Source organism: Homo sapiens, chromosome 19 (assembly GCF_000001405.40).
Source record: "Homo sapiens chromosome 19, GRCh38.p14 Primary Assembly".
NCBI classification, from domain to species: Eukaryota; Metazoa; Chordata; class Mammalia; order Primates; family Hominidae; genus Homo; species Homo sapiens.
The window spans coordinates 30109386-30126006 of NC_000019.10; the positions used below are offsets into that span (position 1 = coordinate 30109386).

Below are 16621 nucleotides of genomic sequence, written 5' to 3' on the forward strand. Positions count from 1 at the left end.
CCTTGACCCCTGAAAAGCAACCTGCAGGTTCAGAGGGCACTTATTTGGACCTGCACTGGGGCTCTAAGCGCTTGGAGGAAGCCATGACTTGTGTCTTCCATTTTGCAATAGTTCTCATTAGCGCTTGGTGCCCACTGTGTGCCTGGATCCCCACCGGGTCGGGGGTGGAGTGAGGGCAGAGATGGAGAGACCAAGCTCCTGCCCTCTAGTGTGCTGAAGACGAGGGCTTCCAGGAACCCAAATTTGTGTATGGGGCAGTATAGGCTCAGAAAACAGCTTTGAGAGGTTCAGAAGGGAAGAGGAGGATGACCTTGAGCGTGTGATGGTTCTCAGGGCCCAACAACTTCCCCTTTATAGGGGCATCCTCTCAGAGCTGAGAGACCAGAACTGCAGACAGCCTGGGCATCCCCTGGTTCTTAAGCTCCCCCTATAATTTCCCCACCAGTCCCCTCGGCCTCTGGCTGAACTGATGGATTCTCAGTCTAACTGGCTGCCTCTACCCGGGGTGGCCTTCATCACCCTTACTCTTAACTTCTCCAAACCTCAGTCCTCACGTTTTTCAAAGGAAGGTTAAAGGAGGGCCCGGTGTGGAGGTTCACGCCTGTAATCCCAGAGCTTTGGGAGGTCAAGGTGGGAGGGTCATTTGAGCCCAGAAGTTCAAGACCAGCCTGAGTAACATAACTAGACCCCATCTCTACAGAACATAAAACAATTAGCCGGGCCTGATGGTGCATGCCTGTAGTCTCAGCTACTTGGGAGGTTGAGGTCGAAGCATCACTTGAGCCCAGGAGTTTGAGGCTGCAGTGAGCTGTGATTGTGCCACTACACTCCAGCTTGGGGGACAGAGCCAGATCCCGTCTTTAAAAATTAAAAAAGGAAGGTTAGAGGATAAAGGAGATAATATGTGGAAAGGACTAGACAGTACCTAGCACAGAGTAAGCGCTCAGAAAATACCAGTTTTTGTTTGTATGCTTCTTATTCATTGTTAGTGCTCTAGGCTTCTGTGAGAACTTGACTACTGCATAATCTCTCTGAGACTCAACTTCCTTACTGTAAAATCGAGAAAGCACTGCATTTTATTCTTCAGAGGGCTACTGGGGTTATTAGACCGAGATGATTCGTGGAGAGTGGCCTGCCCTGTGCCCGATACAGAACAAACACTCAGATGTTAGGTGACAGTAACAAGAATAATGTCAATATCTTCAGAAACAAAGAACTAACCCTGGCTGTGAAAGGGTTTGTGCTTTGGGGTCTGTCCTTGCAGAGACGGTAGATGGGAGACCCAAGGAGACACTAGCATCCTCTTTTGCAGAAGGTTCTAGCAGATGTTGTGGTTGCAACAATTGGCATCAGTGACTTGGAGCTGAAACCTGGCTTGTGGGGTGCTAGGGGAGATCTAGGGGCAGCCTAACTCACCTACCCGCTTCCTCCTCCGTCCTCCGCAGCAGTGAGAAACGATCCGGGAAACAGAAAGCAGAGGCGAACAATATATGTCACGAGGAAATAAGAACACTGCACCACTAGAATAAATAATAATATTTTTTCCCTGGCTTTAATGAAACTCTATAGATATAAAAAGCTGGAGAAAGGGATTTTTTTTTTACAGACCTTAATTATAGCAGGGTTGTTAGTAAATTTACTGAATTGCAAATGTAAAATATTCTGATGGCCTGAGTAAAACCACATATTTAAGCCTTCTAAATGAACATTTCTGTTTTTTGAGTAATTTGTACCATCTGTGTCAAAATTCTGAGTCTAAAAAAAAAGCAGTGGAACAAATGTTGGTTCCATAAAACAGTCCTAGTTCATTGTTGAAATTGTCACACATTAACATTGCAGGCCATCTGGGAAGACAAAAGCCTCTAACCAGATTGCGGAGATGATTTTATTGGTCTGGTATTAATCAGGATATGGCATAATATTTAAGCAGAAAGGAGAGATGAGGTGAAGTGGGGCCCTTCATCCACCCCAACTGCGCGCGAGTTGTACCAGAGCCCCCTCCACTAGGGCGTGGGGCATTTTAAAGCCGGTTTCATCATCAGAAAATGTAAATAAAAGCCAAGGTAATATTTCCGGTTTGAACAGAGGCACACAAAACACAGAAACTTCATGGGTTAGGCGGCTGGCTCGGGGGAGGGAGAGCTCTTGTTCAGCGGGGTCTACCCAGAACCACGCCGAAATGAGGTGGAGTGGAGCTTCCCTTTATCACCGCGCATCTGACCCTGAGCGTGAGAGTCCTCATGCCCAGGACGGTCCCCTGCTGCTCACCGTCCCCGCGGGTGCACAGTGTCGAGGCCAGCCTGGCCTGCGGCAAGACTCACCACAGCCAGGGTTCAGCCCTGACAGCTCCAACCCCTGCACCTTGGGTCCCCTTCCTCTTTTGCACTGAGGCTGAGGGCCCTGGGCCACAGCAGATCCCAGCCTTGGTCCCGCTGGATCCTGGCAAGTGCCCAGGTGCAGCTCCCATCAGCTCAGGGGTTGGTGGCTTGGTGGAGGCAACTCTTGAGGCAGGTCACTTTAGGATTCACCTCTGAGTGACAGGGGGGTTAGAGGTCACAGTTTAGATTATGTGCGTCTTCCTCCGGCCACTCCACTTGGGCACACGCCCCTGGGTGAGTGGGCTGGTAGTCAAGGATCTGACATTCGCCCGATGGGTCCCACTTTCTATGTACCTCTCAGATCTCCGCGCGGATCATCTCACAGCGCAGAGAGATGCCTGGGCTTAAGGACGTATTTTTCATACAACTTGCCCCTAAATGCAAGCCATCAATTTCATCAAGTGCTTAATGGAAGGAACATGGTCTGCCCCAAATGCTGGCTTGTGTTGAACCCACTGAGGGGAGGGAGGTCGGCGTCCTGGGTGATGGCTTCCTGAGAGACTTTCAAGGGAACTTCTGACTTTGTGCTAACTTGTACACACTGTACCCTCCTGTGCTGTGTGGCCCTGTGTGATTGGGGACTCAGGCGGAGGTGTCCAGGGTGCTGCTGGGAGTGCGTCTCCTGGGTCCGCTGCGGGGTGGAGAGCTGCAGCGGCCAGGTCTGCCCTGCCAGCCTTAGGCCTTCCTGCCAGGAGAAGATGCCACCCCTTCTGGGCAGCTTTCAAGGCTGGGGGAACGCGGTGCTCCCTGTGGAACTGCCTTCATACTTGGTTCTTTATCTTTGTCCATCTGGAGGTTATGCACAAATAAATGCCTTATGCAGACTGATGGCCTTCACCTTTGCTCCAAATGCTGGCATATGTAGAGTCTCTTCTCAGCATCTCCTGCATGCTGAGCCCTGTTGCAGAGGGAAGGGAGAGCCCTGGCCACAGGGCGTTGAGTCCAGTTTTCAGGAAAAACTTACCGGAAACAGTGAAGGACGTCACAATGGGAAATGCAAGTTGCTGGGTCCCCAGAGCTCAGATAATGAGCATGAGAACTGTGGGATGCATTAAGAGGGACCTCCTAAAAATAAGAACCTGAAGGCCGGGCACGGCAGCTCACGCCTGTCATTCCAGCACTTTGGGAGGCCGAAGGCAGGCAGATTGCTTGAGCTCAGGAGTTTGAGACGAGCCTAGGCAACATAGTGAAACCCCAACTCTACAAAAAATAGAAAAAAATTATCCAGGCATGGTGGCATGCACCTGTGGTCCCATCTACTTGGGAGGCTGAGGCAGGAGGATTGTTTGAGCCCAGGAGGTTGAGGCTGCAGTGAGCCAAGATGGCACCTCTGCACTCCAGTCTGGGTGACAAAGTGAGATCCTGTCAAAAAAAAAAAAAAAAAAAGAAAAGAAAAGAAAAGGAAACATGAGACCTTGTCTCTAATAAATAAATAAATAAGGCTCTATCTCTGAAAAAAAAAGAAAGAAATCAACAGCCCATCTCTTAAAACAGCAGCAACAAAATGGACACAGATCACACTTCTCTGCTATATAAAACCCTTTAGTGGCTCCCACTTGCCCCGGAAAGAGAGGCCAGAGTCCCTGAGAGGCCCTTGCCCCCTGGGCTTCCATGGGAGGGGCCTTCCCTGCTCCTCCACACCGCAGGGCCATTGCCCCTGCTGTGCTGTCTGCCTGGAAGCCCCTTGATCACCAGCCGGGTCAGCCCGGCCAATCTCTTTTCTTCTTTCAATACCAACACAGGCAGAGCTTCTTTAAGGATTTGTTCCTCTGGTCTCATAGCACCTTCCACTCCTCCCTTGCTGCTCGTAACACTGTTTTAATTAAGTGGTTTATGATGTAATTATTGTTTGTGCCTTCATGTCTGAACACAAGGAGATCAACTATTTTCCCAATGAAAAGATGAGAACTTTTTTGGTGGGGGTCTTGTTTGTATATAGAAACTCATAAGGACGAAGTCAAAATAGTCCAATGCTTCTTTATAATAGTTATTAACTATGTTGCAATGCATACTTGAAATCACTTTTTTTGAGCTAGGGCTTTATTCTGTCACCCAGGCTGGAGTGCAGTGGTGCAATGGTAGCTGACTGCAGCCTCGACCTCCTGGGCTCAAGTGAACCTCCTGCCTTGGCCTCCCAAAGTCCTGGGATTACAGGCATGAGCCACTGTGCCCTGCCCCGAAATCAATTTTTTTTTAAAAAAATTTTCTTTCCATAGGTTATTGGGGAACAGGTGGTGTTTGGTTACATGAGTAAGTTGTTTAGTGGTGATTTGTGAGATTTTGGTGCACCCATGTCCGGAGCAGTGTACACTGCACACAATTTGTAGTCTTTTATCCCTCACCCCCTTCCCATCCTTTTCCCCTGAGTCCCTGAAGTCCATTGTGTCATTCTTATGCCTTTGCATCCTCATAGCTTAGTTTCCACTTACGAGTGAGAACATAGGATGTTTGGTTTTCTGTTCCTGAGGTACTTCACTTAGAGTAATAGTCTCCAATCTCATCCAGGTCGCTGTGAATGCCATTAATTCATTCCTTTTTATGGCTGTGTAGTATTCCATCATATATGTATACTACAGTTTCTTTATCTACTCATTGATTGATGGGCATTTGGGCTGGTTCCACATTTTTGCAATTGCGAATTGCGCTGCTATAAACATGTGCGTGCAAGTATCTTTTTTGTATAATGACTTCTTTTCCTCTGAGTAGATACCCAGTGGTAAGATTGCTGGATCAAATATCCAGTATCTACAACGAACTCAAACAAATTAGCAAGAAAAAACAAATGATTCAATCAAAAAGTGGGCTAAGGACATGAACAGAGAATTCTCAAAAGAAGATATACAAATGGCCAGCAAAACATATGAAAAAATGCTCAACATTACTAATGATCAGGGAAATGCAGATCAAGACCACAATGCAATACCACCTTACTCCTGCAAGAATGGCCATAGTCTAAAAATAAAAAAAAAAATAGATCTCAGCATCGATGTGGTGATCAGGGAACGCTTCTGCAGTGCTGGTGGGAATGTCAACTAGTACAATCACTATGGAAAACAGTGTGGAGATTCCTTAAAGAACTAAAAGTAGAACTACCATTTGAAATCACTTTTTATGCAAGGAAGTACACTCACTGGGAATGCTTTTTTATTCTCCCATGCCAGGAATAAATTGCACTAAAATTTTCACACAGTGCCCCCTCCACTTTCACTGCCTTGGCTCTCGGGGGAGCTGTTTTCTCAGGCTCCTGCCTTCAGTGGTATGGATTCATTTGAATCCCTAAAGATGCTTTGGCTCATGCCTGTAATTCCAGCACTTTGGGAGGCTGAGGCGGGCAAATCGCCTGAGGCCGGGAGTTCAAGATCAGCCTGGCCAACATGCTGAAACCCTGTCTCTACTAAAAATACAAAAATTAGCTGGGCGTGGTGGTGTGCAACTGTAATCCCGGCTACTTGGGAGGCTGAGGCAGGAGAATCACTTGAACCCAGGAGGCAGTGGTTGCAGTGAGCTGAGATCGCGCCACTGCACTCCAGCCTCCAGAAATGCATCCAAAGCTGTGAGCTCCATTTGGGATCCATATTCTCCATAAAATAACCACTTGACTTATTTTCCTATGTGACCCTTAAAAGACTGCTTTCCTGTGACACCTCGCAGCTGCAGTTTTGAGACCACACCCCCTCCCCAGGAATAGGTATTTTTGTTCTGTTTATTTTCTTTCCCCGTTTTTTTTTTTTTAACCTATTCCATCAGGTGACCTCTATAAGCATCCAACATTAGCACTGACGGCGGGGCTTGTAGGATGAATAGGTCTCTTCCTTTAAGTTCAGGCTGAACGGAATTGGGAGCAGAGCCCTGCGGTAGGACAGAGACTTCGCAAAGCCCGGAGCACACAGCAGCACCCCGTCTTCTAAAGGACAATTTTGGGAAAACTCTTGCCTAATATTCTGGCACTAAGGATCATTCTGTCACATCCCCGCTCTGGACTACAAGCCTGCAAGCCCCATCCGGGGCAGGGCTCCTCATTCCTGTGCACCGTGGAAGCCCTGTGCCTGCCCAGGGCCTGGCACTTGTACGTACTTGAAAACCTCGTGTGGAGTAAAGAGAGGGGTGATGTGCAAAGGCCTTGAAGTGGGGAAGGGTAGTTGAGGTGGCTCTGGACTCAGCATGGTGACAAACGGAGTGGGGAGGGGATGGTCCTTCATGAAGCAGAGTGAGGAGGCACTGTCACACATGCATACACACACACACAGAGACATCCACACAGATACACACAGACACAGACAGACACACAGACACAGACACAGACACACAGACATATAGACACATAGACACACAGACACACACGGACACATATATAGACACACAGACATGTACAGACACACATACAGACACACAGACACACACATATAGACAGACACACACAGACACAGACACATACACAGACACACCGACACACACAGACATATAGACACAGAGACACACACAGACACACACACACAGACATGCACAGACACACATATAGACACACAGACACACACATATAGACACACAGACACACACACAGACACATACAGACATTCACAGACACACAGACACACACACAGACACACAGACACACGCAGACACACACAGACACAGGCACACACAGGCACAGACACACAGGCACACAGACACACAGACACACAGACACACACACAGACACACACAGACACACAGGCACACACACGCACAGACACACAGACACACACACAGACACACATATAGACACACACACAGACACACAGACACACACACAGAGACACAGACACACAGATACAAACAGACACACACCCCCACACACACAGACACAGACACACACACAAACACACATATAGACACACAGACACACAGGCACACACACAAACACAGACACATAGACACACACACAGACACACACAGACACAGACACACAGATACAAACAGACACACACACACAGACACAGACACACACACACAGACACAGACTCACAGATACAAACAGACACACACCCACACATACAGACACAGACACACACACAGACACACACATGGATACACATAGACACACAAAGATACAGACATGCACAGAGACAGACACACATACACACACACACACAGACACACACACACACACACACAGACACACACACACACAGACAGACAGACAGACACACACACATGAGAGCTCCAGAGGAAAAGTGATCCCAGGCCAAACAGAAGCCTCTGGAAGCTGGAGCAGGGGTTCTGGGATTGTACCCCTGCCTGTGGCCACAGCCCTTGCTGGGCTTGCCCAGTGATAAGCGCGGACCAGGAGCTCTTCTGAGAAGCCCCTCCTGGCGAGACGTTGTTGTGAGCCTGCTAATGTCTTCCACTTAAGCAGCAGCCACCGAGGTGTGCCGCTTCCTGGTGCCTAATGGCCCGGGGTGTCGCCGAGCACTATTAATCCCGCTGGCCATTAATTCCGGGAAATGCTCAGGGTCATTACAGGCTGTGTGGCTTCCAATGAGAAGTAACTCTGCAAGGTGAGCGCCCAGGCCACCGGCCCCAGGAATGGCCTCCTGCAGGGAGGCCTGGTAACCAGGGCAGGAGGGGGTGCCTGGCCTTTGCACGTGTGTGTGTGTATGTGTGTGTGTGGCGGGGGGAAGGGGGTAGCAGGCATGCACCCAACATCAGGGGACCACATCAAAATGGGGAGACAGAGATGTGCAGCAAGGGCTGTTCTCTGCAAGGACCCAGAGAGTCATCCCCTAAGTGCTGCCTTGAAGCAGCACGTGGCTTGGATGTGGGGGTGCTGGGGCAAAACCGGAAGGAAGGATTTTTGCTGCTGCGAGTGGAGGGCCGGGGACAGGGAGAAATATTGGAGAAGGGTTCTAGGTAGCCTTGGTGTGATCTTCAAAGTGTTAGGTAGAGAGTGCTCAGTTTCCCACTCTGGTGAAAGACAAGGAGGCACAGAAGGGCTGCAGCAGTGCCAGGCAGAGCCGCAGGCTCGGGCTATGGGTCAGGACAGGCAGCAGTTCCGCCAACAGCGGAGGGTCTTGTGCTTTTGCAGGGCAGCCACTGCGTCTCACTCTGTTCCTGCTGTCCCGCTGGCCCAGCCACTGGCTCTCAACCTGGATGGCCTCTGCTGTCCCGTGACCTCTGCTGCCCCATGGCCTCTGCTGTTCCATGGCTTCTGCTCTTTCATGGCCTCTGCTGCCCCATGGCCTCTGCTGTCCCGTGGCCTCTGCCATCCCGTGGCCACCACTGTCCTGTGGCCTCTGCTGCCCCGTGGCCTCTGCTGTCCCGTGGCCTCTGCTGTTCCGTGGCCTCTGCTGTTCTGTGGCCTCTGCTGCCCTGGGGCCTCCACTGTTTGGTGGCCTCTGCTGGCCTGAGGATTCTGCTACCTGGTGGCCTCTCCTTATTGTGTTTTCTCTTTATAATATGAGATCTGGAATCAGGCCTCCCGGTTTCAAGCCTTGGCGCTCCTGTTTCCTAGCTGGGTGGCCCCGGGCAACCGACTGACCTCCTCTGAGCTTCAGTTACATTACCCATAAAATGAGAAAAACAACAGAGCGTTATGAGGATTAAAGATGACAACAAGTAGATCATTTGGGACCAGCCTCGAACACAGCAAAAGCTCTGTAAATGCTTCCTCCTCCTCCTCCTCCTCCTCCTCCACTTTTCCTCTCTTCTGATTTTATTGTTTCTGTTATTCTCTCTGTGTGTCTTCTGGCCTCGATCCCTGACTGTGAGGCTCATGGGTGTCCTGTCACTGCCTCCGCAGAGGGGCTGGGCTGGGCCATTATGCACTTTCCAGAAATGAACGTCCCTGTTGACCAGAGTGGCCTGTCCTCGGGCCATCGCTGGCCACTTGCGGCAAGTTCTCTTTGGAAGAAAAGCCAACCTCCAGTTTGGTGAAAGTGTCAGCGTTTTGGGGTGCAGAGCATGTGACCCTAATGTAAGCCAGCACCCCTGGTCCCTGCCTTGGGAGCACTGTGGTCCTGGCGCAAACCAGAGCACAAGTCCAGTTCTGTCCCCTCCAGGGTCCCTCCCTATTCACTGCCTCAGTGACCACCACATGGGCAGAGCTTGCAGTTTAGCCAGCACTGTCCCAGTTCACCTCAAGTCTGAGAGGTCGGCCTGGCCAAAATTCAAATCCCCACTTTCCTGATGCAGAACGGACTGCCAGAGCTGGATTTTCAACACAGGGCCGCCAAGACTGGGGCCAGCTCCCGTCCCACTGTGCCACACCGTGTTTGTGCGTTTGTGACCCCGTGAAAGGCAGAACCGGCTGCTGTCGTGTGGGTGGATGGAGATTTGGGACAAGGACACAGACACAGTCGGCAGAGAGTTTGACCCCAGATGGAGGAATCGGGTTTGGCTAAATTTCTCTGGAATCCTTCAATGAGTCTGGCTTGCTGCTATCTTTAATTTCGAAGACCCTGCTGAGGGCTGGCCCCACCAGGACGTGGTGCTCGGGGACAGCAGCCCCCAGGGTCCTGAGGCAGCTTTTCCTCTACCTGGACCCCGTTTCTTTCTGGGCTCAGTGGTGCATCTCAGCCAGGACTCTGCTCAGGCTGACTTTCCCGAAGCCCAGAGAGCAGGGAGCGGTGGCCCCCACCATGAGTGGGCTGGCAGTGGGTGTCACATGGGGGCGGAAGAGAGGGAAGTCTGGGAAATAATGCCCAGCCCCACCCACTGAAGGACCGGGATGCAGAGAAATGTCACTGCTGCTACACAAAAGTGCGGCATTATCAGCCCCTTGCAAAGGCAAGTGGATTAAAATGCCATTAACACAGCAAATTAAGCTTACAGTGAAGTAAACAGGAATTAAATCAATAACCAGCACAGGGGACAGCTGAATTTTTCCAAATGGTCCCCCGGGGATTGGGGCTAGTGGGTGCATAGGGTAGGGGGCAGGGTCTGGCTGGAGAGGGGAGGGGGTAAGTGACATGCTTAGAGATTGAAGGTCCGGGCACTGGCAATGGGTACTTGGAGGGTTCAGGCTGAGACCTGTCCCTCCAGTGGGGAGCAGCTTCGCTTCCTGTTTCCACCCAGGTGGCTCCCCCTGTTTCACCAGCTGTCCATACTTCTGAAAGTGATGCCAGATAGATGTCACCTGCTTGGCATCCCCCCACTCTTCCTTTGTCAATCGCACCTAGATTCTTCTTCGGGGACACTCCATGCCCCCAAAATCTCTTAGTCTGTCCTGTTCAGTTAGACCCACTCTTTGGCCGCAGGCTGTCCCTTGCCCAGGCTTATAGCACAAGAGAATTGTGTCCCTATGGTCACAGCATTTGATTTGGGGATGTTCAGCCAATCCACATCTGTGCCAAGAGGCAACCCAAGGACTTTGACTGGAGCCTTCTAAAATGTCCTGAGGGGCTGCTAAGCTGATGGGATCTGGCATTCTATTGCACCAGGAGAGCTTGGGCTGGGAGTGGGCTGAGAGGTAAGGAGGTAGAGGCTGGATTTGAGTGCCTGGATCCAGCTGTGCCTGAAGCTATGCTGGATTTTCCCCTGCATTCTATTTTTTTTTTTTTTTTTTGAGATAAGGTCTTGCTCTTTTACCCAGGCTAGAGTGCAGTGGTGCAATCACAGCTCACTGTAGCCTCAAACTCCCTGGCCCAAGCAATTCTCCCACCTCAGCTTCCCAAAGTGCTGGGATTACAGGAGTGAGCCACCGTGCCCGATCTCTCCCTGCATTCTTCAGGAATCTGAACCTCTCTGTCTCCCATACTTTTATTCTTAAGCTAGTTTAAATCAGAATGTGGTCATTTGCAACTGAAAGAGTCTAGCTTGAAAAATAATTTTATTTCTTTTTTTTTAAAAAGAAAATTAATTTATCAAACATCTCTTAGGGACCATTGAGCATGGTGGTGTCCCTTGGTCTCCCTTGCCTGTCTTTTGCAGTCTGGATGCTGTTTCCTCATCTACCCTATGGGGTTATTGTGTTATGCCCTACCAGCCTGTGTGGCTGTCCCTCCTCAGGCCACCCATACATGCATCCATCTATCCATTGACCCATCCACCAATTCATCCATCCATCCACCCATCCATCCATCTACCCACCCACCTATCCATCATCCACTCATCCATCCATCCATTTATCTATCATCCATCCATCTATCCATCAGTTCATCCATCCAGCCACCCATTCATCCATCTACCCATCCATCTACCTGCACTCCCGCCCTCCTCAGGTGTACATACCCATCCATCCATCCATCCATCATCCATCCACCTACCCATCCATCCATCATCTACCCATCCATCTATTAATCCATCCATCCATCATTCATCCATCCTTTAATCCATCCATTCATTTATCCATCTACCTATTCCTCCACCCACCCATCCACCCATCCATTCATCCATCCACCCATTCATCTATACATCCATCCATCCACTCATCCATCCATCCACTCATCCATCCATCCATCCACTCATCCATCCATCCCCCATCAATCCATTCATCCATCCATCTATCCATCCCCCATCCATTTCTCCATCCATTCATTCATCCGTCCACCTAATGGAGCCCTCCTCTGGGGCAGGTGGGCTCTATGCTGGGCTATCTCAGCCCACTACCTTTCAAGCCTCTGATTTAATACATCTTAGGCAAAAGAAGAATCTTTAATGGGGGACACACGGATGGGTTCTTATTCCTTTTCCTTTCAGGTCTCTTATTCACCTGCCTTACCGCAGAGCTCCTGGAGAAGGGGTAAGACCCAGGACTGAGAACGGGATGACTTTTTCTCCTGGCAGCTCCTACCGAGATCCAAGCCACCTCCATCTGGAAGCCTTTCATGACTGTCCTCACATCTGGGAAGGCACCTGCCCTCTCTGTGCGTCTGGGGCCCCAGGGTCTTCCTTTGTCAGGCTGCTCTGTGACTGACACTTCCCGATTCTGCCCCCTCTCTGTTTTGTGAGCTCCTTGGAGGTAGGGATCGAAGCTTTTCCCTCCCTCTGGGCTCCAGCACGGAGCTCAGGGTGTTGTGCAGAGCAGGCCTCAATATGGGCCTGCTGAGTAAATGAATGAATGACACCCAGTCGCAGATGCTTTTCTTGAGGCTCTGATTATAGGTTCTGACCTGCGCTTGGGGCACTTTTTAGGGGCCATGGCTTCCCTGTGGGGATCTCTGCCCCACCATCCCCACTCTCTCCACCTACCCCCCCTTGTTTCCTCTTTTCTAAAGAGACTCCTTGGCCCTGCCTTGTCCAGGGCAAGTTCCCACGGTTTCAGGCAGTGGAGTGGGCTGCCTTGAGGAACTGTGTTTTGGGGATTGGGTGGCGGTCAGGGTGGAGGGTGCAGGGGACTCCCCAGACCAAGGTGGCATGATCAGGACACGCTTTTCACTTTGCTTGGTTATTGGTTTTCCAGAGATGCTTCTAGGAACACTTCACACAGATGGAGGGAGGCCATTACAAGGGTGATTGTTACTGTTCTTACTTTTTGGGGGAATGGTGGGGGTGAAGCATGCAACTGCCTTGCACCTCATAGGCAAGGGGTTCGCTTGCTAAAATACCCTTCTATTTCCCTAGCTTGGCTCCAACTGTCTGGTCTGTGGCCACCAGGGTCTCTGGAGGCCTGACACCCCCAGTCTGGACACCTCGAAGTGAAGGGGAGACCAGGGGCCGCCCCCACCCCAACTGCCCCACGGACGCGATCCCTGGCCAGGTCAGGGAGGGAAAAAGAAAACGGGTCCAACTCTGAAGAGTTCTGCATTCCTCTGTTGATTTTTCCCCTCTCCCTCCCTCAGGTTCCAAATCCAATTCTAGCTCCTGGCCAACTGGTAGAATTAAGGGATTAAGAGCTACCCAGGTCTTATCCCGATATGAAAAGATTTCACCGAGAGGCTCATAGTTCAGCATCCAAAGCCGAGGAAATCGCTCTCCGCCTGCCCTGGTATTGTTTTGCAAGCCTCGCTGGAACCACCTTTTGAGCTCCTGGCTGAGGCATCGCTGTTTCACTTATCTCTTAAGACCTCACTCATAATTGCTCAATGTCCGACAAGCAGAGAGAACCCTGGGCATTATCTGTTAAGGGCCCTCTAATCCAGTTCATAAGGACAGAGTGTAATCAGGACACCTCAAAATCTTTCTAAAGTCAACGCAGAATGTCACATGAGCCCTGAGCTGCTTCCTGGCGAACCCCGGGGACCAACACAGATGCCAGCCCTCCCCACCTCACCGCGGGAGGGCACATGGGGCTTGAAGGCTTGTGTGGGCCCAGAGCGAGTGCCGGTTGGCCAGAGAGACCAGACCAACTTATGGGGGAAAAAGACTTTGTATTAAAAAGCAGAAGGGAATTTTTAGCATGTGCCAGAGTTGGTATGTAACTTCATATGTGTGTGTGTGCATGTGTGTGTACATAGGTGTGCGTGCATGGACTTTCTGGACAAAATTAAAATGAGTGAGCCCTCTCCAGGCTCTCATGAGTCCACTGGGTCAGCTTAGGCAGCAAAGGGCCCCCACAGCCCTGGGCACAGGGCTGTATAGCTGGTGGCCCCCGACAGGCAAGGTGGCAGAGGTGTGGATGAGTCAGAGGCTGAGTTTCTGCAGGCCCACGGGAAGCTCGCTGACAAATGCTGTTAATCTTCGGCAGGGCAGGGGCACCTCCAGCACGGAGCTCCATATGGGCGCACCTAGATCTATCAGTCGACTGTCGACTGCCGCCCTTCATGGGACACGGGCGCGTCCCTCTGACTGATGGAGCCTTTCTGGGGGCTCACGGAGACTCTGGGCAGGTGCAAGCTCAGATGCCAGAATCCCCTGGCACCTCTCATCGGTTCATCCACCTACAACTGACAAATGGAGCTCCCTTCCCCACTGCACAACAGGGAAGGATGGCTTTAAAACAGCCCGCAGGACTAAGCTGGGTGTCTTCTTCCTGTCTAGGGCCTCACCTGGCCAGATCACACTCTTTCCACTTCTCTGATGTGAGCCAGCCAGTGTGGTGGCTGCAACCCTCTTCTGCCCTCCGGACATGTGGCTCCACCCCACCCATCTCTCTGGATGCCTGAGCTCCTGAGTCTGGGCTCTGACAGCCACTTTCCACCCGCTGATGGCTCCCCTCTGTGGCTGCGTGCTCAGAGTGTGCCGACGCATCCTGGGATTCCTGCATAGAAAATAAGAAAGGGCTGGTGTGTGTGTTGACGTCTTGGTTTGGGTCCCCCAGAAGCTGACCTCAAGACGAGGATCCCGTGAAAGTCATTGATTTGGGAGGCAACCACAGTAAGTGTGGTGGGGAGGGGAAGTGAGAAGAGAGGAGAAAGCCACCAAGCATGGCACAGGATCCACAGGCACCAGCATGCACCGAGCTCCCCTCCAGCGGGGGTGTGGGGAGGCGCCATTGCACCTGCCACAGGGTGTTCCCCAGGAAGGGAAGAAAGCTGGCAGGAATGCTGCCAGTTCCTGGGTGAGGGTTACCCCCAAGATATTAGTTACCTGGCCCTTCTGGCTTTGAAGGCCAGGAATTTCCAAGATCCTGGAGAAGTTCTCAGGGACAGAGGCATAGAACCTCTGCCTCTGGCCTTGGGAAAGTGCAGGTACATGCCAGCTGCTGAGGTCTGAGAGATGTGGGCAGGGAAGAGCCAGCGTTGGCTCTGATGGCTTTCCTAGGTCACATTTCCTGGGCAGGTTGGTTAGGGAGATGGGACAATGTGTATATGAGTGGCACCAAGGCTGGATTCTGCTGGCCAGCTTTCAGCTCTTCCTGTGCAAATTTCTGGAGGCCTGGCCCTCTTGCTGCCTGGTTAGGACCCTCTTTCCAAGGCAAACACAGTCCCCACCCTCTGATCTAGATGACTGACCATCAGCCAAGGGCAGTTGCAGTTTTGGTGCAGGCCAAGACAGGCACTGAGGTGTGACCTTGAGCCAGTGACATCCATCTCAGAGCCTTGCTCTCTCCACCTGAAAAACGGGCACCTTGCAGATAAGCAAGGGGTAGCCCAGAATAATCCACAGTATTGGAGATGAATTCGGGACATTGGTGTGCACTTCTGCTTAGCCTAATATAAATACAGATGGATGCACGTAAAGGTATTTTAGATATGTCTATATACAGGGGTTAGTGTACACACATCTGCTTCCTGGCTCTGTCCACCGAGAGGGCCTAGAAACAACGACATCCCAGTAATAACACCTACCACCCGGGCCTTGGTTTCTAATACCATCCTCAAAACCAGGAGCCAGAATTCGTTGAAGAAACAGCCCATTCTAGGATTGGGACAGGAAATGTCAGATAAGCCTGAAGCATATTACAGTGCCAAAAAGTAGAGTGTGCACACACACACACATATACACAAATACACATATACACATACATAAGCATACACATACACACACACATAGACACACACACATACACATATACACAAACACACACACATACACATAGACACACATAGACACAAACATACACACACATACCCATACACACACATACAAACACACATGCAATGGTGGGGCTTGTCAAAGAGATGTAGGGATCAATGTAAGAGCCCCCAGTGGCCAAAATCAGAATAATTCGAGCAAGAAAAATGTAGTATTGCATTACAACCCAAAGTACAGGCCGGGTGTGGTGGCTCATGCCTGTAATCCCAGCACTTTGGGAGGCTGAGGCAGGCAGATCACCTGAGGTCAGGAGTCTGAGACCAGCCTGGCCAACATGGTAAAACCCCGTCTCTACTAAAAATACAAAAAATTAGCCAGGTGTGGTGGTGGGCACCTGTAATCCCAGCTACTTAGGAGGTTGAGGCAGGAGAATCACTTGAATCCGGGAGGCGGAGGTTGCAGTGAGCAGAGATCGCACCATTGCACTCCAGCCTGGGCAACAAGAGCAAAACTCTGTCTCAAAAAAAAGTACAAAATATATATCCATGAATCCATACTGATATAGGTAAGTAGTTGAATAAATAAATAGGTGGGTGAGAATAGACACATCCCGTGCAGAAGAATTCCACGTAATTGACGTAGATGCCCCTCCCTCGAGGAGGCGGATGATCATCCCAGCTCTTAAGTGTGGGCTGCACCCAGTGACCACCTTCCCAGTGGTACGCTATGGAAACAGGGTTGAGAAAGAGGAGCTTGACCCTGGAGAAACCTGAGCCCAACCAGGCGAGGAAAGTCAGGGGCAAGTCCTCCTGAGAGTGGGATGTGGGGAGAACGGTCCTTATCCCCTGTGGCCTTTCTCCCAAGAACCCATCAGCTCAGTCTAACTGTGAGAAAAGTAGCAGACAGCCCCA

At 50.9% G+C, this 16621-nt stretch overlaps 2 annotated features.

The window, feature by feature from the left end:
• Positions 7315 to 7866: an enhancer, noted in NCBI's record as "H3K4me1 hESC enhancer chr19:30607607-30608158 (GRCh37/hg19 assembly coordinates)". NCBI's record gives its function as "activates a minimal SCP1, AML or CMV promoter by ChIP-STARR-seq in naive and primed H9 embryonic stem cells {active_cell/tissue: H9 hESC(naive and primed)}" and the evidence as "EXISTENCE:reporter gene assay evidence [ECO:0000049][PMID:30033119]".
• Positions 7867 to 8416: an enhancer, noted in NCBI's record as "H3K4me1 hESC enhancer chr19:30608159-30608708 (GRCh37/hg19 assembly coordinates)". NCBI's record gives its function as "activates a minimal SCP1, AML or CMV promoter by ChIP-STARR-seq in primed H9 embryonic stem cells {active_cell/tissue: H9 hESC(primed)}" and the evidence as "EXISTENCE:reporter gene assay evidence [ECO:0000049][PMID:30033119]".